The 27,137-nt window shown below is 37.2% G+C and overlaps 1 protein-coding gene across 3 annotated transcripts in view; it reads right to left on the reverse strand.

Annotated features, from left to right (window-relative positions):
- The window catches only part of RAB38 (RAB38, member RAS oncogene family), a 371,729-nt gene that overhangs the window by 294,130 nt on the left and 50,462 nt on the right, over window positions 1-27,137 (reverse strand). The window contains exon 3 of one of the 3 annotated variants that reach the window (NM_022337.3): window positions 15,407-16,296. The exons of the other annotated variants lie outside the window; for them this stretch is intronic. Coding sequence (NP_071732.1) covers window positions 16,144-16,296 — 153 coding nt within the window. The 3' untranslated portion in view covers window positions 15,407-16,143. Of the gene's footprint in view, window positions 1-15,406; window positions 16,297-27,137 lie in introns of those variants that run through there. 3 annotated transcript variants of the gene reach the window in all.

Consider the following 27,137-nt stretch of genomic DNA (forward strand, 5'->3'; position numbering starts at 1 on the left):
GCAGAACCTTAGTTTTCTTATCAGTAAAATGGATGGATTTCAGAATTGAATACAAATACATATTTACCAATTTACAAGAGTATCACTTTATCAATACTTTACTGCTCATGCTTCTCTTCTTTCCAAAGTCAGCCTCTCTAGGAAGCCATTACCTGTCCTTGTGATTTGATTTATCAAGGGGAATGGTTAAACATCGGAATTGCTTCAGAGCCTCTTCTGAGCCACTGTAGAACAGCTGAGGTAGAGATGCAGTAATACATAAATAAATAAATAGAGTCTTATTTGGTGGTGGCTTCCTGGTTTCTTGTCAGAAATTTGGTACACAGCAAACAGGAAAGGGACACATATTTCAACAATAGAAAGGACGATGGAATAGAGAGCCTGCTATGAACGAGGTGGGACAGCGTACCAGAAAGACAAATGCTAAGGTCAGAACAGGATTTGAATTCATCCTTACTCTGTGTGACCTTGTGCAAGTAACTCAACCTCTCTAAGTCTGTGTTTATTTGTTAAGAGAAAACTTAAGTCTATATTGCAGGTTTGCTATGCCAACTAAATAAAGTAATGTAAGTAGAATGCCCAGTACCCAACATTCTCTCAGTAGCAGGACATATTAGTGGAACAGTGGAGATATGGCTTTTAGCCAATATTCTGTATCTTAGCTAGTTGCATGACCTCATAAACACCAGTGAACATTCTTGAACTTCAGTTTCATTCCTACAATGAGTGCTGGGATAATAACCTGAAGATCTTTCCATTCTCTGTTTTTAATGCAACATAACTTTTTGAAAGAATGTGTAAAATAGGTTGGATTTTCTATTTTACTAAAGCCTTACAGAAGCACCTCTGAGACTCAATCAGTGAAACAAACCCAAGGCCACGCTGTAAGTGTGCTTTACAGCTTACTTGAACTTGCTATTCTTATTAGAACCTTGATTTATTAGATAATAGCGAAGGCATCCTATATGTTGCTTATACTTGTGGTATCTCCTCCAGGTACAGAAAAACCAAACAAACCCTACATTGTTTAAAAATAGCCCATTTTCATTTTGGGTCTTCATACCAGGCATGATACTGAAAAATATTTTTTTGTTTTCTTTTTGTTGCTATTATTTTTTAGTAAGAAAAGCAGATTCTTTTTATAAAAGCTAATTAAATCCTAAATCTTGTATATTTTTAACTGGACATAGAGTGGACCAAAGGAAATAAAAATGTGTTCTTATATGTTTGTTTTATTTCTAATAAAGCTCTTTAATCATTTCTGTTTGTTTTAAAAATTATTAAAAACCAATAGAACTATATTTGATCCTTAAAAATCAAACGTAATTGAAATAGAATGAGGAATTTATTTATGCAGTTTTATCTTATGCAAACTGATTATGTATAATATGTAAAAAATGCAATAAAATGGTGAAAATGAACTCTTGGGATTTAAATCAAGCCTGGCTTATCATTAAATATTTAATGACTTTTATGCCCTAGAGCTCAAGGAAATCCCTTTCCTTGTTATGTTATTTTGTTTTTTTAATTTTCACAGAATTCATCACCTCTTCTTAAGTCTCACAGGTTTTCTTGATGTGACACTCCGAAAATCAAAACGAGGGGAGAGAAAGAGAACTTCAAATAGATACAAGTGGAAATTATTTTTAAGTCACATTAACATTCCATTGTTATCAATTAGAATCTCCTAAGGGGAGTAAATCAATCCGAAATATAAGCATAGTTGAATTAAAGCACAACATGGGGGCACTTGTGGTCATGTGCACACCTCCTCACCCAAACACATAGCCCTACTCATGGGAGTCTAGTGTGTAGGAGAATATGTTAAGATGTCCTAGCTAAGCCACCTCCAACACCAGTGATATTTGATATCCTCCTAGGACAAGAGTGTTGGGTCAAATCTTTCTAAATCTAAATATATGATTGTTACAGAGCACACTCTTAGTACATAGGGTCAAGGCATGTCTTTCGCTTGGTGATATTTAAATTTCAATTTATATTAAAATAATAATTTATTAATATAATAATATTTTCACAGTTCAAGATGTCAAGGATTCTTCTAAATACTTCAAATAGGTTATCTCATTTAACCTGTTTAGGAATTCCATGATTAAGAACTTCATTCTCCCAGTTTTATCAGAAAGTGTTTAGGCTGGTCTGAAGGTAATGAGTTATCTTAACTGATTGTTCACAGTCAGTTACAGATCAAACCCCTTGTTTTACTCTCCTCCCTTCTCACTAGTGCACTTGACTCATCTTAGAAAAAGTGTTTAATCATGAGTGATTTTTGATAGTTTTCCTTAATAGCAATAAAACACACACACAAAGACAAAACAACAAAGATTTTTAAAAACACCTAAAAAGTTGAAAAGTCACCCCCGCCTGTTAACCCAAATCCAACGAAAAAGAATAGTACAATACTGACAGATGCCATAAATTCTGATTCAAGGTCAGCCAACATAAATCGAAAACATTTGTGGAATGGCCGTTTTAAGGGAGCCTAGCTAGCATTCCTGAAGGGTGCCAGAAAAGAGGGAGTGGTGAGATTGTGTGGAACTGTAAAACTGTAAGAAAATCATGTAAGAAAGTCTTTCCGATGGCATGTTAATATTATAATTCATCGTCCAATTGTACTTGGTATTTCATATTTTATATTCCACTAATCCAATCCATCAAAGAATCTGGCTCCCTGCTGTGATTAAAATAGATTATTAAACATTTCTGGGGAAAATTTTCATGGCTATATTCATTCTGTTATTAGAATTATAGTTTATGCAAAGTTAAGGTGTAAACCTCAATAGCATTTTGGAAAGTACATTTTATTGCCACGGATTTAAAACAAACTAAGGTGATCATATTAGTTGTTGAAAATTGTAATAACACTTTGGTAGAATAAATGTATTTTTAAAACTGCAAGACACAAAGACTTGACATTAATTTTAGAAATATTATGGACAGGCAGGTTTTGTAGGAGCCTGTAGGTTATAATTTCAAGTAGACAAAATAGTTCTTAGGAAACCCTATCATTTACTTACTTTTTACTTTACCATTTATCTTTACTGTCATAGTACTTCTCCCCAACTGCTAGGGAATAGGATGATCTTTCTCAAGGATACTGAATAAAAGGAGGAAAGAGGAGACTAAAATATAAGTTTAATCTGTTCTCCTATTGAAAATGACATTGCTGTAATCTGACATCAGGTTTTTGGTGTCTGCAAATGTTTTCCTTCTCTTCATGTATTTATCACTCCCTCCCCAACACACACCTGGAAAGGCCTTCTGCTGGGTATCCACAATGGTTACAAGTAGGTGTAGGAGAGATGGTCATAAATTGCTGTGCTCTTTGGATATTTTTAAACATCAATGACGGAAGTGGAAATTAATACAAGCTTTCTGAAAATAATATTCACATGGCTTAACATTTTTTCATAATCTTTGATTCAGCAATTTAACTTCTAAGAATCTATTACAAAGAATTAATTGAGTAAACAAACATTTATCTTTGAAACATCATTTAAAGGCAAATTATTTATAACAACATAGATATCCAGCATTCATGGTTTGGTTAAATAAACCACAGTATATATTAATATAATATGATTTATATTCACCTTCAAAATTTACGCTGTATAAAAATATTTGATGAATTAGAAAGATGTTCATTACAAAGAGAAAAAAATTAGGTCCCAAGACATCATGTTAAATACAATTCCATTTAGGCAGACAAAAAGGCAGGTTAATGTGAATAGTGTATCACTCATGAATTTTGCATTCATTTTATGTATTTTATTTAATATGCATATTTTATATTTGTTGTAAGAGGAAATATGTTATAAAGACACGGTTTCTGTTTCACACTATAAAAAATGTTTTTGATTTTCATGACCACAAAGTTGATAATAATATTATCAACAGCTGGTTTTAAGTAACCAACACATAAAAGTAATAATATACATAATTATGTTATTCAAATTATATAATCTCTATTTATAATTACACTATTATATTTATATACTATTAACATATTTATACTGCTTTCCATATAGAAATATACACTGAATATTAATTGTAATTCTAGTGGCATTTAGTGAAGAAAGAGTGAAAGAGGAATTGGAATGGTTACCTTGGAGATCCTGGAGAAAGTAGAAAAACGATGACAGCAAATATCTGTATGGTACGCACAAGTAAAGCTCTTAGGACTGTGCCAGGCACAGAGTGAGGGCTACATAAGCATCTGATATTGCTATTGTTATCATTGTTGTCAATCTTAACAAGAACCAGGATGTATGACTCTACTATTAACATACCAATTTTGCAGATTATAAAACCAGAGGATTAGGTTTTACTCAGGATACATGCCAGGTTGTATCAGACACCTCCAATACCATAGCTTCAATAGGATATAATGTTTTTTCCTCTATCCTAAAATATTCAAGCAGGTAGTCCACTGTTGGTAGGGCAACTCACCATTATCTGGGACCTGAACCCTTCTATCTTTTTACTCTTTCATTCTCAGTGAGGCTTCCACTTTGCAGTTCCAGATGACTGCTCTAGCTCTCAGCTTCATGTCGACATTCCAAAGGAATATGGGCAATACTTTCTTTTCATTGAAGGAAAAAGCTCAGGAATTGCACACAATTTCTGTTGATTTCACATTGACCACAATTTAATCACATGGCTATACTCATCTGCAAGGGACACTGAAGTGTACTATTTAGCTGAGAGTTCAAATACCCAGCTAAAAAGTATATATTCACGTAAGAAGGAGAAAAAGTTATTAGGTGGCAACCAGCAGTCTCTGCCACAGAGATGTTAAGGAGATTGCTCAAGAAAGCATGAATATTAAGTAATAATGCTAGGATTTGAATGTAGGCAGTGTCATTTCAGACAAACTCCCTTGCTCTGAAACTTCCTCTCCAGCCTATGAGTTAAGTCAAATAGGCATGATGATACAGGCTTGCACGCATCTCAGGCAAGTACCTAACAAGCATTTACAGCAGTTTCTCAATCTTTCTTAACCCACTCTCTTCTAATAAATATTACATTGTTACTCCCGTCTCCTCCCTTCCCTCATTAGTTTCACAAACACTAGATTCTGATATGTCATTCCACAGAGTGCCCTTTCCATTTCCTCCTATATATAATCCCATCTGCCATGCCCTTCCCTTTGTAAATGCGTGCTGTAATTTAACCTTGAGATTTTGACATATATCCTATTTCTTTTTTCACCCTTGATAATTACTGATTTAGGAAATTTAATATTTACTGAATGTCTAAGTATGTAGTGGCTCTGTTGTTTAATTCTTTACATAATATTGCTCTAAATACCATAGTGTTATTTTGAAGTAGACATCTTATTTTTTATATTATAGATGAATTAAGACTCTGAGACATATGATAACTTAAACTTATTGACAAGCATTTGAAATCTAGTGTGTCAGAGATAAGGCTACATGTTTACTGTCTATTTCATTTTTCTCTAGTACATTTCCCAGTTTCTCATAAAAGTAGAGTCTTCTGACTATGTTCTGGTCAGCACAATGTGGGCAAATTACATATACACCTTATCGGATTGGCTTTAAACCATGCCTCTAATCTTATATATTCTGTCTCTCTCCCGTTTGTTTACAGAAACAAAGGGCTCCAAGGTAGTGGAGCCACACAAGACAAGGCGTCTAAATAGTTGAGTTTCTATTTATAGAACAGTAGCTTTATAGAGTCACCTGACTAGCACCAGATCACGCTTTAAGTGAGAAGGAATCCTTTATTATACTAAGCCATTGAAACTTTGGAGTTGTTCCTGCAGTTATCATGGCTTACTCTAATTAATACACTGTGCCAGTTTTCAATTCATTGCTTCTCTGCTCCAAAGCCACCCTCTTTTCCTTAGTTTTAAATTCCAAAGGGAAACCTTGCAAACATTTCTCCTTTGCCAGTAGGCACAATGTAAAGCCTTGTCAGTAGAGGGTGCTAGTGAGATCCTGCAGGAGGGAGGGGATTCTCTTACCAGAGTCAGTGCTTTTTTTCTGGCTTCTATGGTGTGCTGCCAGAAGACAAGTGTCCTTCCTTACCAGCAGCCAGCTTTCTTGCCAGAAGGTGTCGTCAGTGAGGGTGGAAGACCTAGCGGTCCACAACCCCCAGTGAGTTTCAGTGATTTCCCAGAGAGTGGTTTCCTGATCATCTGCCCTGGCATGAGGCACCTAACTGAACTTTTCCCCTATCTGGTGGGCTTTGGCAACACTTTCTCCAACAAAGTCTGAATCTCAACTTGAAGCAAGGGGTGGGAAGTTGGGGAGGATCTGCCAAGTTTTTTCCCTCTTTGGATGCGCTCCCTCAGCCATAGAAGTGGCGGCTTTTCCCGGCATTTGCTATTCCTGGATTCTTTAGCGTTCTCTTTAACCAATCCTTCTTAATTGATCTCCTTTTACTAGTTATTTTCTTACGTTAAATGTCCCTTATTCAATTTACTGCATGTCTGTCCCTTACTGAAACTTAACTGATGTTTACACAAAATAAATACATAATCTTGAAAATTGGTGCCATCTAAACTATGGTCATATGAAAATATGGTCAGATAGAGGCAGATTGAAATGTGTCATTTGAGTCATGGTAAAACAAAATCTTTTGAGCCAGCCAGTCTTGAGTTTGACTACTGGCTCAGTCACTTTCTAGCTATGTGAACCTTGAAATAGTTGCTAAAGATCTCTGAGCTTTATAATTTCTTCATCTCTCAAATCAGGTTAATGATTATCTTGTGGTGTTGCTGTGACTAAGCAGCATGTGTACAGTAGTTGGCACAAAGTGGGCACTAAATAAACAGTATTTTAAATACCAATTCATGATGATTTTTCAGTGCCTGTGATTGAGCACTATTTCATTTACTTGTCATATTCAAATGATTGTGTCTCTCCATAAACTCACTGTAATTCTTTTTGTGGTTAGGGCCAAACAAAGCATTTATGAACCTTGCTTATCCTTTGTCCTCTCAATATTTGTTTCCTTTGCCAAAGAGAATAGCTCAATATCACTCTTCTCAAAATTAATCAGTATTTAAATCATTTATCAAATCCCTTCTCATGCTGCTTCTGGGAGACTCCATGGCCCCATATTATTTTGCACTTTCACAAAATTTTTATTTTCCATCCTTCTTTGATTACTCTCAATATTCTCTCTTCTCTAGAAATTTCCAGACCTTACTTTACAGATTTTTAATAATATTTACCTCCTGATTCTTGTATGGAAACACACTCTGATTAAAGCATTTTCATATTAATTTATAATGTAAATAACATCACATGTATATAAATTAATATACACCTTCCTCTATTACACCTTCCTCTATAGTAATTTAACAACATTATTTATTCCAAAAAAGTATTCATGTGCTTTATTTTTATTCTATAAGCCACTTGTCATTATCTTTTTATTTCTGGGCTGCTGACTGTTTCACTTGGATTAGCATCTTTTCCTCCATCGGCCATGTCTTTATATACTTTTTACTAGCAGAATACTTGAAGTAAAGCTGCCAATACCTATACAAATCTATGGCTATATTAGTCAGGAATGTTTGAGTTATAGAAAAATCAATGCAATCTGTTCTGAACAAATGAACAACAACAAAACCAAAGAGGAATTTATTGCCTCTTGTAACTAGGAAGTTAAAGGTTAAATCAGGACTTATACACAGTTAAACTAAGAGATTCAGATGGGATCTTCATTTCTCCCTGCCTTTCTTTTTCTTAACTGCTTGATTCTATGTATAGGTTATGTGTTCACCCAGCTGTCACATGGGGTGAGAAAATCATGGCCATTTCCTACAAGCCCCTTTTCTAAAGAATTGGAAAAAAGGCACAGCCAAAGACCCTGCATAGTTCAGCTTGGATCACAAGCACACCTCTAGACCTGTCACTTGAGCCACGAAGAATGAAGTACTCTGATTAGCCCATTGTGGCCAGAAGAGCAGATGCACTGACAAGAAATCCTGCCAGAATCACATGATACATGTAGATCTTTTATTTCTAACAATGTTTTCTTATCTATAAAATGTGTAATCATACCTCCCAATAGAGGTAGTAATGATGATTAAATGACATTATGTTTTGAAAAGATATAATACCTGATCTGAACAATGAATTATAGCTTCTAACATTTATTATAATGATAAAATAAAATGCAGAATGTCATGCAGTGGAAACAGAAACAGTCTTCTTTTCTTGATCCTCAACTGTATCTTTTGCCTCTTATTAACCCACTCTCCCTTCCCCCAATGAAACTGTAGACTTAAAGAGCAGAGACCCGTGACTTTTTTATTTCTGGTTTCCATGGCAACAGCTATCACAGAGAGAAAAAAAAGAAACTAACATATATTAAGCACTATGCATTTTGCTAGAGATCTTGACAAGTGACTTACTTAATGCACCAAACACAACAACTTGCTCAGAGCAGCGAATTGATAGCTATTTGATTAAGGAGTCCAATGAATACAAATTTATGTTACACATCTGGCATAAGGTAACTTCTTCAAAGTTCAGTTCAAGACAAAATAGAAAACATTGTATTTTATTACAAGTAATAGCAACTTTCTCATATTTGATATTTACAAAAAAAACACACTTTCATAAAGTTTCTTTGAGCTCTTTGAAAGACAATTTTGTTCTAATATAAAGCATGACCTGGGTCATCTGGAATTTTAAATTCCAGAGTCTTATGTCTACCATTACAGTTTCAGTGAGTACACTGCATTTAGGTATATACTGCCTGTGCCTGGAGGTTGATATTCTAAAAGTCAGTCAAATTGAAGAAAATAAATTAGCTTGATGATATGGAAAATTTCAGACTCATCAATGCAGTGAACAGTTTTGGACACACTTCCTAAAGGCATTTTACCCTTGTCTTCAAGACTTACTTTGTTTAGTTTATCAGCATTTCTGACCGTTTTTATTAGGATTTTTCATGATCTTTTCTTTTCCAATATTGGGAAATTTTCCGGTTGCTTGGGAATTCCAAGAAGCCAATGTTTTAAGACAGAAACAGCTCAGATGCAGCCAAGTTTAAATTCATACAAAATGCTAGTTGGAACATCTGAGAGCAAGTCATGAATTCAGAAGTGATGAAGTACTAGACAGAGAAGAGCAGCGATAAAGAGGCACACTCTAAAATTCCCTCCCGTGGAATAACAAACACCAGGACTACACACCATCGTTAAGCTAAAGTGATGCATCAAGGGAAACAATAGTTTTATACTGCTTTTTCCTGTGGTTCCACTTTTTTTTCTTATCACAGCTTTATTTTTTATTTGCATACCACAGATTTTGCCCATTTAAAGTATAGCATTCAGTGGATTTTAGTATATTCATGTTGTGTAACTATAACCAGAATGAATTTGAGAACATTTTTCTCATCCCCCAAAGAAAACCCATAGGCTTTATCTGTCATCCATGAAACCCTCCGAAGCCTAGGTGACTGCTAATCAACTTTGCATTTCTATTGATTTACCCTAGGGTCCCATATTTGACACATCCAAAAATATCTACCATTTTTTACCTAATAGCTTTGCTTATACTACTTCTTCAATTTTAAAAATAAGCATAGTAGTATCATAATATCTACATGTATTGATTACTTGTTATGTTTTAGCACTATACTAAGTGTTTTACATGTATTATTTCATGACAAACTACCTCTCACTGTTGTTAAGAAAATTGTTAATCTTTTCAAAAAAAAAAATACCTCCTGGATTCATTCGTTTGAAGGGGTTTTGTGTCTCTATCTCCTTCGGTTCTGCTCTGATCTTAGTTATTTTTTGTCTTCTGCTAGCTTTTGAATTTGTTTGTTGCTGCTTCTCTAGTTCTTTTAATTGTGATTTTAGGGTGTCAGTTTTAGATGTTTCCCACTTTCTCCTGTGGGCATTTAGTGCTATAAATTTCCCTCTAAACACTGCTTTAGCCATGTCCCAGAGATTCTGGTCTATTGTGTCTTTGTTCTCATTGGTTTCAAATAACTTATTTATTTCTACCTTAATTTCGTTTTTTACCCAGTAGTTATTCAGGAGCAGGTTGTTCAGTTTTCATGTAGTTGTGCAATTTTGAGTGAGTTTCTCAATCCTGAGTTCTAATTTGATTGCACTGTGGTCTGAGAGACTTGTTTGTTAAGATTTCCATTCTTTTGCATTTGCTGAGGAGTGTTTTACTTCCAATTATATGATCAATTTTAGAATAAGTGCAACGTGGTGCTAAGAAGAATGTATATACTATTGATTTGGGGTGGAGAGTTCTCTAGATGTCTATTAGGTTCACTTGGTCCAAAGCTGAGTTCAAGTCCTGAATATCCTTGTTAATTTTCTGTCTCATTGATCTGTCTAATATTGATAGTGGGTGTTAAAGTCTCCCACTCTTATTGTGTGGGAGCCTAAGTCTCTTTGTAGGTCTCTAAGAGCTTGCTTTATAAATCTGGGTGTTCCTGTATTGGATGCATATATATTTAGGATAGTTAGCTCTTCTTTTGCATTGATCCCTTTACCATTATGTAATGCCCTTCTTTGTCTTTTTTGATATTTGTTGGTTTAAAATCTGTTTTATCAGACACTAGGATTGCAACCCGGTTTTTGTTTTTGTTTGTTTTTTTGTTTTGTTTTTGCTTTCCATTTGCTTGGTAAATATTCCTCCATCCCTTTATTTTGAGCCTATGTGTGTCTCTGCACATGAGATGGGTCTCCTGAATACAGCACACTGATGGGTCTTGACTCTTTATCCAATTTGCCAGTTTGTGACTTTTAATTGGGGCATGTAGCCCATTTACATTTAAGGTAAATATTGTTATGTGTGAATTTGATCCTGTCATTATGATGCTAGCTGGTTATTTTGCCTGGTAGTTGATGCAGTTTCTTCATAGTGTCGATGGTCTTTACAATTTGGTATGTTTTTGCTGGTACCAGCTTTTCCTTTCCATATTTAGGCTTTCTTCAGGAGCTCTTGTAAAGCAGGCGTGGTGGTGACAAAATCTCTCAGCATTTGCCTTGTCTCTAAAGGATTTTATTTCTCCTTTGCTTATGAATCTTAGTTTGGCTGGAAATGAAATTCTGGTTTGAAAATTCTTTTCTTTAAGAATGTTGAGTATTGGCCCCTACTCTCTTCTGGCTTGTAGGGTTTCTGCAGGGAGATGCGCTGTTAGTCTGATGGGTTTCCCTCTGTGGGTAACCTGACCTTTCTCTCTGGCTGCCCTTAACATTTTTTCCTTAATTTCAACCTTGGTCAATCTGATGATTATGTGTCTTAGTGTTGCTCCTCAAACTATACTACAAGGCTACAATGACCAAAACAGCATGGTACTGGTACCAAAACAGATATATAGAACAGAGGCCTCAGGAAAAACATTACACATCTAAAACCTGGCTCTTTGACAAATCTGACAAAAACAAGCCATGCGGAAAGGATTCCCTATTTAATAAATGGTGTTAGGAAAACTGGCTAGCCACATGCAGAAAACTGAAATTGGACCCCTTCCTTACACCTTACACAAAAATTAACTCAAGATGGATTAGTGACTTAAATGTAAGACCTAAAACCATAAAAACCCTAGAAGAAAACCTAGGCAACTCCATTCAGGACATAGGCATGGGCAAAGACTTCATGTCTAAAACACCAAAAGCAATGGCAACAAAAGCCAAAATTGACAAATGGGATCTAATCAAACTAAAGAGCTTCTGCACAGCAAAAGAAACTATCATCAGAGTGAACAGGCAACCTACAGAATGGGAGTAAATTTTTGCAATTTATCCATCTGACAAAGGGTTAATATTCAGAATCTACAAACAACTTAAACATATTTACAAGAAAAAAACAACCCCAACAAAAAGTGGGCAAAGGATATGAACAGACACTTCTCAAAAGAAGACATTTATGAGACCAACAAACATATGAATAAAAGCTCATCATCACAGGTCATTAGAGAAATGCAAATCAAAACCACAATGAGATACCATCTAATGCCAGTTAGAATGGTGATCATTAAAAATTCAGGAAACAACGGATGCTGGAGAGGATGTGGAGAAATAGGAACACTTTTACACTGTTGGTGGGAGTGTAAATTAGTTCAACCATTGTGGACGACAGTGTGGTGATTCTTCAAAGATCTAGAACCAGAAATACCATTTGACCCAGCAATCCCATTACTGGGCATATACCCAAAAGATTATAAATCATTCTACTATAAAGACATATCCACACGTATGTTTATTGCAGCACTATTCCCAATAGCAAAGACTTGGAACCAACCCAAATGCCCATCAATGATAGACTGGATAAAGAAAATGTGGCACATATATACCACGGAATACAATGAAGCCATAAAAAAGGATAGTTCATGTCCTTTTCGGGGATATGGATGAAGCTGGAAACCATCATTCTCAGCAAACTAACACAGGAACAGAAAACCAAACCAAACACTGCATGTTCTCACTCATAAGTGGGAGTTGAACAATGAGAACACATGGACACAGAGAGGGGAACATCACACATTGGGGCCTGTCAGAGGGTGGGGGGCCAGGGAAGGGATAGCATTAGGAGAAATACCTAATGCAGATGATGGGTTGATGGGTGCAGCAAACCACCATGGCACATGTATACCTATATAACAAACCTGCACATTCTGCATATGTATCCCAGAACCTAAAGTATAAAAATAATAATAATAAAGGCCAGGCGTGGTGGCTCACTTCTGTAATCCCAGCACGTTGGGAGGCCGAGGTGGGCAGATTATGAGGTCAGGAGTTCGAGACCAGCCTGGCCAATTTGTTGAAACCCCACCTCTACTAAAAATACAAAAATTAGCCGGGTGTGCTGGCGCATGCCTGTAGTCATAGCTACTCGGGAGGCTGAGACAGAAGAATCACTTGAACCTGGGAGGTGGAGGTTTCAGTGAGCTATCGCACCACTGCACTTCAGCCTGGGCAATACAGTGAGACTCCATCTCAAAAAAAAAAAAAAGAAAAAAGAAAAGAAAAGAAAGGTGTTTAGGCCAGGTGTCTGGTGGCTCGCACCTGTAAATCCAGCACTTTGGGAGTCCAAGGCAGGTGGATCACTTGAGGCCAGAAGTTCGAGACCAGGATGGTTGATGAGGTGAAACCCTGTCTCTACTAAAAATGAAAAAGAAAAAAAGACAGAGACAGTAAGAATACTAACAGGAAGGTTGGTGAGATAAGCTACATTCTCCAGTGTTATGGTTAATCCTGACACCATACGTGATGCCATAATTAATATTCATCATTTCCCTTCCCTTGACCAAACTGCTTCTAATCAAGGTTCATTGCATAGTGCAATAACTCAGACATTTATCCCTGAGAGTATGAGTCCCTGACTTCTCGTCCTTATCAAGATGTTGCTGCTGCAACTGCCCTTTCAGATATCACCAGTGATGGAGGCATCAAGAGGCACCCCAGTGAATCCCATGAGTTCCAGACACACTACTTTCTGCTCCACTATCTAGTAGCAACCCCATTTCCTTTTGATCATTATGGTGAATGACCCTTGTCTGTATAGTAACTACCTTCTCTAACTGCTGGTTTATAGGCCTGAGGAGCCAAAATTAATCAGACAGCAGCTGAAGCTGTAGATTTATTGGAACCCTTACTATGTCTTCTGGTAGAAGTATTAAGACCTCCAATTATGGAAAACCTGAAGTTCTGGCAAGGAGAAACTCATTTTCTTAAGTAGATTATTAAAAGTAACAGGGAGAGGCTATACTCTTATTTCCATCTTTTGGTCCTAGATGTCTAAGACACAGAACCAAATATGCCAGCACCATTTAATAGTCTACCACTTAATGACCCTTAAATATGAAGGAAGCCAGTCCCATAAAAACAGAGCAACATCTCTATAATCTCAAGCCTGGTCAATAGAGAACAATCACTACTGAGTTTCTCATTGATGCAGGTATCCCTCTTTTGGGAACACTTCTTGCTTTAGTAAAGTGATTGTCTTCTAGGCTCTCCTGGAGAACACAATGAGCTGGCAGATTCTCCGGCCTTTCAAAATAAGTACACTCTAACATTCCCACTTCTATGAGACCCTGGATCTCTTCTCCAGTATTTTGCCAATGTAGTTCTGGCATGTCCACATCATTTATTTCAGGCCAGAATCATTTATAAGCTTCAAGGAGCCAAGCCATTCCAATAGCATATTAGAATCAATGCCAGGTAGACTTGTCAGAATGTTAAAAATTAACTCATGAAAGTATTTCCTCATATAAGTAGAGTATCTATTATCCGGCCTTATCGCCATGATCCAATATTTCAGTATATCAAGACCAATTCATGGATTGTTCTCTACATTACTACTAATATTTACTAGCCAGATTCTGTAGTTCATTTGATAAATAATCCATTTCATCCTGCAACACAGATCATCCTTTTCCACTCAGATCATGCTGAGACTTGGCCCTAGTTATTTGTCTAGAAGCAATGAGGAGAAATGGGGGCAGAACTTGATATGGGCAAGCCTCACCTTAAAACTTCCTACTGAGGCAGGGCTTTTATGTAGCAATTAACTGTTCTCCCACTGGAAAGAGTAGAAGGCCTCTTTTTCTAGGTCAGAGTTTCCAAAGAATTTGGGGATTCAAGACTCTTAAGGATATGTACCCACATATCTCATCCTCTATCTCAGGATCCTGCAGAGTTGTAAGAGGCCAAGCTGACAGAGCTACCACGTTTCCTCCACTAAAGTCAAGACCCTTACAGGAAAATAGCAGGATCCTGATAAACCTCGTCTCTATTAAAAATACAAAAATTAGCTGGGCGTGGTGGCACATGCCTGTAGTCCCAGCTACTCAGGAGGCTGAGGCAGGAGAATCGCTTGAACCCAGGAGGTGGAAGTTGCAGTGAGCTGAGATCGCGCCACTGCACTCCAGCCTGGTGACATAGCAAGACTCCGTCTCAACAACAACAACAACAACAAAATATATATATATATATATGTATATACGACTCCTGTGAGTGTATTACAAATATTAATATGAAATAATGACATTAAAAAATAATAGCTACCTGCACGTGTCAGCACCACAACCACTGTGTAAACCAAGGTGTCACAATGCATATTTTATTGTTTCTTTTTATGTTGATTGATCTGGCACCTTTCTTAATCAGAATCTATGAGGACATATTCCTCTGATTAACTAAAAATATGTATATGCACTGTACACTCTGTAGCCTAAATGTCAATATGAACAGTAAATGCAGATGGCATAGACTCATCCCAGTTTTAATAGTGTCCAGCAGTTTCTTTAAGCATACATTTCTCATCTCCTCCTTGAAATAAAATTTTAGAAATGGATCTTGAGAACCCTGTTTACTTTGTCCGAAAAAAAAAAAAATCCCTTCACAACACTAAGAAACTTAAAGCACTTTCATAAATAGGGAAACAGCATCTTTTAATGTTTTATTGTTCACTTGCAAAAATATATATAATATATATTACATGTATAGCATGTATAGAGGAGCCCCACAGCTTGAGTCAGAGAAAGCTAACAGAAAGGCACATATGGAGGCATGTCTTTTCATACAATATTCAGTTAAGCCAACATTCAGGCCATGGCAAGTGACAGTTAGGACAAGGACAATATAGCACACCTGTGTTCACGATTCCAAAGAGCTAACTCAGAGGCAACTCTTAGGTCTGCCGAGAATGGAGGTCATCTTGGGAGAAAATATCACATCTACTTAATAGGCCTGTCAGGCCATCAGAGAATATACTGAAATCTGGAAAAAGACACCAGGGCAAGGTGAAAGCCAGTCCTTGACTTGACAGCTAGTTTGTTCTTCTCCCCTTTTATTTTAAGACTTGAGGCCTTTGCTGATTAAAAGAAGCAAATAACAGTGCCGACTGTGGCCCTGCAGGATTTTGGTCAGCTACATGACAGAAGTTTGTAACAGACTAAATATTTTCAAAAGTTTGTAAACACTGTGATGATGGTGAGGAAAGCATAGAAAGAACATTTGCTATTTCTCTCTCACTGAAAAAACAGAGGCATAGATCTTTGGCTTGCCACATGTGGTATCTCTATCCTGACGTTTACCCAAAATGGTAAAAATAGAGGCACAATTTGTGGAACAATGAGGTCATTCCTACCAGACACCAGCAAAGGTGCCTACTAGGATTTGGCACAGCCAGAGCAGCTGGCAACCTTGGTTGATGTGAGATGGGGCTTCACGACGTCCGGCTCAATAGACTCCATTAGGTCACACTCATTTGCAAGTATGTGTTTCACCAGGCATCTGGAGGCTTCATCAATGTTTATATTTTCCTATGAGGGAAAAAATAAAACAGCTTTTCTTATTCAATACTCTGAAATAATGCTAGAGCAGAGACTTATATGTGACAATTCATTTAAATATTCCTTCCTATATGCTACATATGCATCCCCCTCCTGTTTCCCTCACTCTTATTTGTTCCTTCAAAGAACTTTACTGTTTGGTTCCTCAAAAAAGAAGTATTTATTTTGCTATGTCATATAGGAGGAATGGTGTCTGGTAAATGTACTTAGTAGGTTAAATTTCAGTTAGAGGGCAATTTTCTTATTTTCACATTTTCACATACTCAAACTATAAAAATATTGTAGAAGAAACATAAACCTTTAATCTGACTTAGATTTATAATTGCCCTCTGCCACATACTATTTTTGTGACCTTGATATAAAATAAGAATGATAAGACATCTTTTATAGTATGCATTAATGGTTTCACAGATATTTCTGGGTCTCTATATTCTAGTGAAATGGGGAAGAGTACACTGTTCTGACCTCTTTGAACTTAGCCATGGACATGTGACTTGTTGGGCGTCAAAATGTGAGAAGTAATGTGTGTCACTTTCATATAGGAGCAATAAGAGCCAGTGCTCAGTTTCCTGTTTTTTCTGTTTCTCCCTGTGGAAGCACAGCAATGGAAACTCTTTTGGATAAGGTCTGTGAGTGAGAATCAAGTAGAGGCAAGTATCCCAATCAGCCCATGCTATGTAGTGTGCATGAGAATGATGATCTTTGCTATTTTAACCCACTGAGATTTGAGGTTATTACCCCAAATAAACCCTGGCATTATCTAGACATTCCAGATGGATATAACTCCTCAAGGAAAAAAGTAAAACTGGAAATATAAGTTTAGGTTCAAAAATGAAATAAACTTGAATTTGGAAAAAATATGGAGCAAACATTTGAATCTAAAATATGTCAGTAGTATAAGTTAAACTGCTTTTTTTGTTCCTGCTGGTCAGAAACCTAAGACATATAGAAAATATACTACCAGTGTACTAAAATAAATATCTTTGATTAGGTAAAAAGTAGTTAAAGATCTGCAATAAAGTTAAATTTGATTGTTTTTAATCACAATTTGTAGAACTTCTTTGATGTATTTCTTCATACTTAAAGAGACAAGGCTTTCTCGTTGTTAAAATGTTTTACTACAGAACCTTGTTGTCCAATCTGAAGTGGAAATACTTATCCCTGATTTTTGCATGTATGTCAAAGTTGTTGATATATTTTGAGATCATTGAATGGAGTCATATTACTTGGAAAATATAAGAAGTACTGTTGGCTTCCAAATGGCATCCATGACTAATGACCTTAGTTGTAAATGTTTATTAGCAGGTTCTCCATCCTTCAAGCCTGAAACTGAGTTCACCAGCTATGAAAGCTTAAGGTAACTTTGGAGTTCCAGACAAGTATAGCCTAATTATTTATCTCCTCTCTAGAGAGCCTTAAAGAAAATGTTTCCCAGGCTTTCTAAATCCAAAACACAAGGTAAAAGTGTGATTGCTTTTTTGCTTATTATATTATTGTTGTTGCTTTTTACCAGACCAGTCTTCCTTTCTCTAAGCCTCCCTTTCCCCAGCTATAAAATGGTCTTGATGATAACACTTACCTAATAAAAATTTGCTTCCCTTGACAGAGTGCAGCAGACATTATTGCTTTCACAATGTGAACTTGCTAGGGACTTCAATAGTAAGTAAGTAATCTTATTTAATCCCATTTAACACCCTTTAAGATAAAGATTATGTTTTTTGTCCATATGGATTTTGTTATTATTGTTGGGGTAAGGGTGGGGATGGCATTTCTTCCTTCAGCTCAAGTATCTTCCTCACTCTATGGAATCCAGTCCTGAGAGAACAGCAATGCTTCTGCCCCATCCCCTGTTGGGCAACTTCCTGTGCCTTAAAGTCATTGCCTGTGCTTAGCATGTCTTCTGCCACTCTTCCTCTTCTTAGTGTCACGTCTAAGGGTCACACCTGAACTCCCTGCTCCCAGGCAACCAACTGACCTAGGCAGGGCCTTGCTTTTTGGAACGGACCCAGCTCAACACTTTGTTCCGGAGCCCTGCCACTTGCTATGTGACTGAGTGGAAGCCTGTCCGATGGTCCCCTACTGTGTCCCATTCAGGAAGGTAAAAAGGGGTCTCCTCGCCCAGACTTCCACTTAAGAGCCATCACATCTCATTAAAGAAGCCCTATTTGAATGGTTTTAACGTACTTGCCTGGCCATTAATAAGCCAATACTTTGATTCCCATTTGGCTATTGTTTGTGTGTTGGAGAAGGAGGCAACAAAATTATACCCCAAATACCAAACATGAGATATTACTACATATGTTTACAGACAAGAAAGCTTATCTGTAAGGGGTTAAAAGGCTTCCCCAGAATCACACAGCAAGTGGGCTGGGAGGCCAGAGCTTACACTGGGTCTTTCTGACATCAAAGCCTGGCTTTTGCTAAGCTGCATTCCTTTTCCAGATTGTTCAGAAAACCAGGAACAATCACAAATAAAAGTTAGTTCTTCAGTGTTAGACCCAGTTAGTGTTAAATAATGCTAGTTTATTTATCTTCCATATATTATAATAAAAACATGTTTATATGACAGGAAAACAATTTTAAACATTAGAAAGGGCCTTTCTTCGTATATGATAAAAATTAGATAAAAGTTAGTATTTTTTAAACCTCCACTCATATATTAACTGCCAGTTAAACAGGTTTTCCTTCATCATAACGTGCAAATTGACAAAATCTACTAATGAGGAGAATTCAATGCGTGTGGGAAAATCAATGAAAATCCATTATCATTATGAGAAAAAGAACTGAAACCTAAGCTCAAATTAGTGGCAACCTAGCAGGGTCATTTTAGTGAAAATATAAGATAACACTGTTTAAATTGTTTGCGAGTTTTAACACACCAAGTAAAGTCTAGATGGTATTAGGCCTAGGAGAGCGGACCATGAAGGATGGGCTCTAGAGAAAGGAAACAGGCAGAGCCAAGGAATGACTGCTTATAGACTACATGTACAAAGAGTAGCAGTTCATGGTGACTGAGTCAGGTTCATTCACCCAATTAATAGTATTTAGATTTCCACTAAGTACTAGGCATACCAATATACAGATGATACATCTCATTCCTGACTGAGCTTACCTACTAGCAGGGTTTGTGTAAATAGCAAAAGCATAAAAAGGTTGGAAAGGGCATCAGGGTGCCAGATCTCTGTAGAGCCTTGAATACTAAATTTGTCAAGTAGAGCCATTGAGGGTTTTTTTCAGGTAAAATGTCAGTAACCACAGTACTATAAAAGTCCATTACTAGACAAGCCTGTACAGATCCTTAGCACTTTAACAGCTGACCTATCAGTAACTATTTAGTGAATACCTAATACATGTGTACCAAGGTGCTGATTGTCATGGTATACATATTTCAGATTAGAAATTTTAAGAGAAAGCCAGGAAGAACTGAAAATGCTTTTGACTATATTTACCACAGGCACGCTACAAAAAGGCAAGGGGTATAGTCTTTAGAGTACAGGCCTGGAGACAAACCCTTATCTTAGTTCCCCTACTTTCTGGTTGCATGACCTCAGAAAAATTACTTTAACCACTTCATGCTTCAGTTTCCTCATCTGTAAAAGAGAGAATTCAAAATTTACCTCACAAATGATTGTAAGTTAATATATATTAATACTTGAAACATGAAATACTTAGAACAGTGAAAGGCATACAGTACACATTCAATAAATGTTATCTGTATATTCTCCTCATACAAGTTAACCATCAGAAGAACACAATGTGTGTGTGCCTTCCATTCCTTCATTTTGCAGTTGAAGATACTGAGCTTCAGACAGGGAAAGTGACTGGCCCCAAGTCACACACTAGTAATTGGGATGGCCAGCTGTGAGCTCAGGGAGAAGAATAAATACTAATATTTACCACATGTTTACTACAAAAGGCAAGACGTATACTGTTTAAAGCACAAGCTTGAAGCCAAATCCTTATCTCAGCTCCCCCCCAAATATATCCCAAAATAAATAAAGGAACACAATGGGCAGAGCACCTGGTTCCAGCATGCAAGGTAGGAGCATGCAACCAGGAATCAGGCAAGGCTGATTTGTATTACTGGCACTTCGAACCATATCTGGTCTTTCTGACTTTCTATATACCAATCAGGTCATGGCCAAAGGGCCTAGGCTAGGAGAAGAAATAGCAATATAGAACAAACCTCCCTCTCCCCATTAACCCAAGGTCAGCATGGATAATCAGACCCTGCCTGATAGAATTGCAGGTTCAGACCCTTTGGGCAATTAGATTGCAATATAATTGATTGAGCTAGTTGGCATCCAAATAGACACAGTGAAGCCCACATTTTCTGGGTGATTGTATAGAAACAGAGTTGCCAGAATAAGTGAAAAACACTACCTGGAAATTTTCATTTGCATTTATTATAGGGAGTAGTCACAACATCTCCAGGGGCATCTTTTGCTAGAAAGGAAATGTATATACTCTGACTTCCAGGACAGGTAAAATTGGACTGGATATCACTGTGATTTATTTCTATATCTGCAGTATGACAAGATGGTCTACTGTTTTAAGGTAATGCGTGTTCTTCTTTGCACCACTGCTCAGAATCTTTCATTGGTACTGATCAGCAAGTCTCAGAAACAGGCTAAAATTCCTAACAAAGAATTTTACTAAAAACAAATGGAGTTAATTAAGCAGGTGCTTTGTTTATTAAATAATACTCACATTGAATATTCACAAACATCTATTGGAGAGGTAATGGTCATATTTTAAAGGTAAGGGAGCTAGAAAAAAGCTTAAGTAACTTATCCAGAGCAGAACATTATCTTAGCCAATCTGTCATTTCAACCAAGACTATCCCAATTCCAGTTCCCATCCTACTCCCCATACATTACATTACAATGAATCCTAGGAATAAAATAGATCCTAGGATATTATTTAGAAATTATAACTTCTCAATCCTGGCTGTATATTCATATCCCTTGTAAAGTTAAAACAAATATGTTACCAGGGCCCTCCTTCCAGACATTGATCTAATTGGTCTGACATGGGGCCCTACCTAGCATGAGCATTAAAAAAAAATTCCCAGTTAGGCATGGTGATGGGATTCATACTCCTAACCTCTGCCTCACACAATATTCCCATATAACAAACCTGCACATGTACCCCTGTATCTAAAAGTTGAAATTTAAACAAATTTAATTTTAAAAATAAAGTTGTTCATAATTTTTTAAAAAGATTCTACACTTAAAATGTACAGCCAATTTTGAGACACACTCATATAATTAAGAATGTCTTTAAAGAGACTGTCCTTTTTATTCCAATTGTGAACTTTCTGGAAATACAATTTAATATAATCACTCTAAGCCACAGTGATTCTCATCTTTCGGTGGAGGAAGGCACATACAACTAACCATCAGAGGTCCTGGTTACTTGTCAGTTTTTTAATTAGCTCTTCAGAACATCTGTCTTGCGGCAAAGTATTTAATCTTTGACCCCCAGCACCAGAGAGCCAAAAAAAAAAAAAAAATCCTAGCAGAAAATTTTCACATCTGCCTAGTTAGAAGCTGGCAAAGAATTCATCCTCCCATAATCTTTCCAAATACATCAACCTCAAACAAAACACCAACTGTACCCGAGACTCCAAGGTTAGGGCACTAAATTCCCCAGCCCTGTGAAATTTTAATTAGAGCAGATGGCCTACTGGATAATAACACCACTGTACAAAAAGTATTACACAAAACAGGGGTTTAAAAATCCTTTCTCTGAGAAGATTTAGCACTTGTTTATTGAGCACATAAGTGGCAAAGATTTTGCTAGCTTTCTATTAATCATCATTAACACCTAACATGGGTGCTAGTGTAGTGGACACCTGTCTGTTAAGCACTTCTGTCCTCCCTTGTCCCTCATATCAACCTCCCATTTCCTTTGGATACCTGCTTTCCTCCACTGCAATCATTAGCTTCTACTGGGGCTCCCCTAAACTGACCTTATGTTTCAGACATTATTCTCAGAATATGGCATTTCACTTAATCACCACAATAACTCTGAGATGGGAGCTACTGCCCTCCTTTAACAGATGACAAAAGTGAAGTCCAGAGAAACTAAATGATGTGTGCAAGGTCTCAGGGATAGTAAGGGTCAGAACCTGGCTTCTGCCTATATTTTCTCTTTCTCTTCTCCTTGCTCTCTTCTTAGAGTCTATGGCCTACATTTTCTTAGTGTCCAAGCCAACGTCTATTTGAATCCAAAGCCCACAGTTTTGTACTTTACCATGGTATCTCCATGAAGAGAAGGCGTACATGGTGAATGTGACGCAGAGAAGCCAGGTCTCAGTGATGCCCTATTGTATGAAAGTTACCAGAGTTTGGTGTAACAGTCATTGGGAAGGACAGACTGAGCCACATTGTCACTTATTTTAACATAGGACAAAGTCACATTGTCAGCATGGAGAAATGGGATATAGTGAAGAGAAAGGTTCACAAAGGGAGCTCCTAAGATTGTGTCCCTCTGACAATGCCTCCCTCATCCCCACCATGGCCTTACCTCAGCCTCTGTCCTTTATTCTTTAGATGTCAAAGTGTATTTCAAATTTTTCTTACCTCCTTTCTGTAGCTCTAGAGCCTTATACCTCCTAGGTCTCCCCGCTTACGTACCAAAAGTTCTCCCTCCCATCACCCTAGCCACCTCTAGTGCTCTGTTTCAGCCATGAAACATCTCCAAGCTCACAGAGAATCACCAAATATTAGAGAGGAGGGGAACTTAGGTATCACTAATTCGCCCTGCTTTCTTTGACACATCAGGAAATTAAGGCAAAGAGACAGAAAGTGATCTGCCTAGCATCACACAGGCTACTGAGCCTCACAGGGAATATGCTATTATAGAATGCGCCTCACCTCTTAGCTCTGGCTACCTGCATACCTCCATGTTTCTGGAAATATCTCTACTGAGTAGCCTTCTCTTAGCACCATGAAACATTATCTTTAGTGTTCCCTGGTACTTCGTACCCACCTCCATTGACACCACTACATCCTAACTGCCTGTTGCCTGTGTCCTTGAAAACAAGGATTATCTTTTATTATATTTGTATTCCTAGATCCAAGCACAGTGCCTAATGCATATGAGGTATCTAAACAGTAATATTACCAAAAATAGCTGATGCCTATGGATAACTTATTGTAAGCCTGATGGCATGTATTTTACTGGTACTAAGTTTGTACTCACAAAATCAGGTGGGGAAACAGGGGTATAGAGAAATTAAATAACTTTCCCAGAGTCACACAGCCAGCAAGTCAAACTTTTGGCACCTGGTTTTGCAGCCCATGTTCAGACACTCATAATACAATCCCTGAAAGTTTCACAAATGTCAAATAGCAAAGCCCGACTCAAGAACAGAGCCCCTGCTGCTCTTTTTTTGTTTTTTGTGAGACGGAGCCTCGCTCTGTCGCCCAGGCTGGAGTGCAGTGGCACAATCTTGGCTCACTGCAAGCTCCACCTCCCAGGTTCACACCATTCTCCTGACTCAGCCTCCTGAGTAGCTGGGACTACAGGCGCCCGCCGCCACGCCCAGCTAATTTTTTGTATTTTTAGTAGAGACGGGGTTTCACCATGTTGGCCAGGATGCTCTCGATCTCCTGACCTCGGGATCTGCTCACCTCGGCCTCCCAAAGTGCTGGGATTACAGGCGTGAGCTGCCGCGCCGGCCCAGAGCCCCTGCTCTTAACCCACTGCTCCCTATAAATGTCTATTGAAGGAATGAGGACCCATGTTTTCTAAGTTTTTGGCTACTGCTTCTTTCTAAATCGCAAAAGTTACGAACAAACAGTCCACAATGTGTTACATGTAGCCCAGAGTTATTAATTGATCAATTTATTTATTTATTTTTATGTGTAGATGTCTGTAAATGTGCATTTCTGTTAAGTTCCTGGCCCCTGAAAATAATCTGAGTTCAACATCCTCGCCTTTTTTGCACCAGACCCCATAACCTTAATACGAGGCAGACACAGCTCTTGAGTCTTTTTGACAGTTTACTATTCCCGAGATACATTTTCCAAATCCAATATATAATGTATGACTTACCAGTAATTGCCATTAAGAACCAGAATATTCATAGATATTGCCTCTATTAATATTTTGTTTTTAATTCAGTAAGTTTTTAATTGTTCTCACTGTGAGTCTTTTACTGAAACAGTGCTGGGATACCCAATAATCAGTCTTGAAAAGAAAGAATAAAGATAAGCATAAAGATTATGTTTAGCCAGACTTAACAAACCCCATTCATGAAAAACAGCAGCCTTTAGTTCAACTACTTTCTCATTAATCAGCTTGAAAAGATAAATGGTCAACCAGACACAAAATATTAATTGTAATAATTGCTAACAATTATTGAACACTTTATTATTGAACACTTAGGCACCATGCCATGTATGTTACATACATAATCTCATTTAACCCTTACTACACCCTGAGAGGTGGATAAACTATTAACTCTGTCTTACAGATGAGGAGACTGAGACACATATAGGATAAACTACTTTGCCACAGTATTTGCTAGACTTATTCAACTCAAAGTGTTATTTATTGAGTGCTATCTATGGTAGAAATTACATAAATTATGAGTTTCACAATTTATTTTTATGATAATTAAATGCTTTTATTCTGGCACCTCTATGTGCCAAGACTGAGGACTGAGACTGGTACATCATTGTCCCAAATACAGTAGGATAAAATGGAAAGAGAAAGCATGTTGGAGTCAAGCTTTAAAACTTGGTTTTGCCACTTACTGTTAAACAAAGGACAAGTGAAAAGCCTGAGCCTCTACTCCTTAACTTAAAAATGAGGCCAATCGTCACTATATTTCATGAGATTCTTGTTAAACGATATACACAGATGAAATACCTAAACATTACATAATTAGTCCTCCAATGAATACAATCTCCTGTCTCCTTCTTCTTCCTTCAGGTCATTCTTCAGTGATCACCTCCCATGGGAAATCCCCCCTGACTCCCCGAGGCTGAGCAGGAATCCCTCTATTCTGGCACTTACCCACTGGTCAGTATGTAATGCTTTGTTTGTGTATCCTCTACTGGACTGGGAGCTTCCAGGAGTTTCATTGCCCCATCCTGGTGTCTAGCACAGTGCCTACAAACAGTAGGCACTCAGAAGACATACAGACTAAGCGAATGACTGACTGAATAAATGAATGAACAAGGACTTTGGAAGAGTGACCAGTTCAGCTTTCACTGAAAATAATTTTAGACATGGGTGATTTCTGCAGAAAGTAAAAAAGAAAACATGTTCACAAGAAAATTTACTTTACAGGTCCAACTGCCTGTCCTTATTTTGCTTTCCAGTTATTATTTGATACCATTCTTTTAGGTGAAATGGAAGGAAGACTGAAGAAACCAGTATATAAAAGTTGAGCTGAACTACTGTAGGCTTTGCAGTAAAGCAGACATAGGTTGAAGTCCTAATTTTGTTCTTTTAAAAATATTCTTTATATTCTGTTGCTCCACAGGTGATTTCAGTGCATTTAATAACTAAATGTACTTAGGCAAAATATTTAATTTTCTTTGGCCTTACCTATAAGGCAGAGATAATACCCATCTGGCAGAATTATGAGAATTAGGAATATTTTACTGGGGCAAATGTAGAAGTTAAGTAATATTATGTATTTTTACGACTATATAGTACATATAATGATTTTAACAACATCTTCCTCTCTTAAGAACTTTTATGGATAAGACCCACTTCTAGCTTAACAAATTCATTTCTCTCCCAAACTAGAGAGTTAATTTTTTTCTTATATATGATTCTTATGCCCTAGCCCTTAACTCTTTAGTAGAGAGTTTGAAGCTCTTGCTTCTCCAGATAGCATAAATGAAACTATTTCTGCCAGCATTGTTAGAATAATGTTACCTTGGGTGAAAACAAATAGGAAGAAGAACCATGTGTAAAAATGGATGTGTTGATAAAGCTAAATAAATTAATATTTTAGTCACTTTTTGTATTTGGATTGTCAATGATACTAGGCAATACCATTCAGGACGTAGGCATGGGCAGGGACTTCATGTCCAAAACACCAAAAGCAATGGCAACAAAAGCCAAAATTGACAAATGGGATCTAGTTAAACTAAAGAGCTTCTGCACAGCAAAAGAAACTACCATCAGAGTGAACAGGCAACCTACGAATGGGAGAAAATTTTTGCAATCTACTCTTCTGACAAAAGGCTAATATCCAGAATCTACAAAGAACTCAAACAAATTTACAAGAAAAAAACAAACAACCCCATCAATAAGTGGGCGAAGGATATGAACAGACACTTCTCAAAAGAAGACATTTATGCAGCCAAAAGACACATGAAAAAATGCTCATCATCACTGGACATCAGAGAGATACTAGCTAACTACCAAAATTCTGGCCTCAACCATAGAACCTGTCGACCCAACCCTCACAAATTCCTGACGTCTAACTCCTAAATTCCACAGTCAGATAACAACTCATTCTTAGCCTGCGCAACCTCCCGGAGGCAGCACTTAGAATATGTTATATAATTTTCTACTTTCAGATATGGAATAAAACATTATTTTTCTTCATTCCACAAACTTGTAATTGAAAATTAAAAAGAGGAGATACATCAATTTGAAGTTCTTATATAATACTTGAAATATCATGTAACTAGATGAAATGATTTATTATTCAGCAAATAATCATTGAGCACTTTTCATGGACCAGGCACTATTCATCAAAGGCTTTACAATCCATGCTTTAATTTGCTACGCAATAAGTTATGTGACTGTCTTGTTAGTCCAGGGCTCTTCAACTT

This window comes from Homo sapiens, chromosome 11, assembly GCF_000001405.40.
Source record: "Homo sapiens chromosome 11, GRCh38.p14 Primary Assembly".
Lineage (NCBI taxonomy): Eukaryota > Metazoa > Chordata > Mammalia > Primates > Hominidae > Homo > Homo sapiens.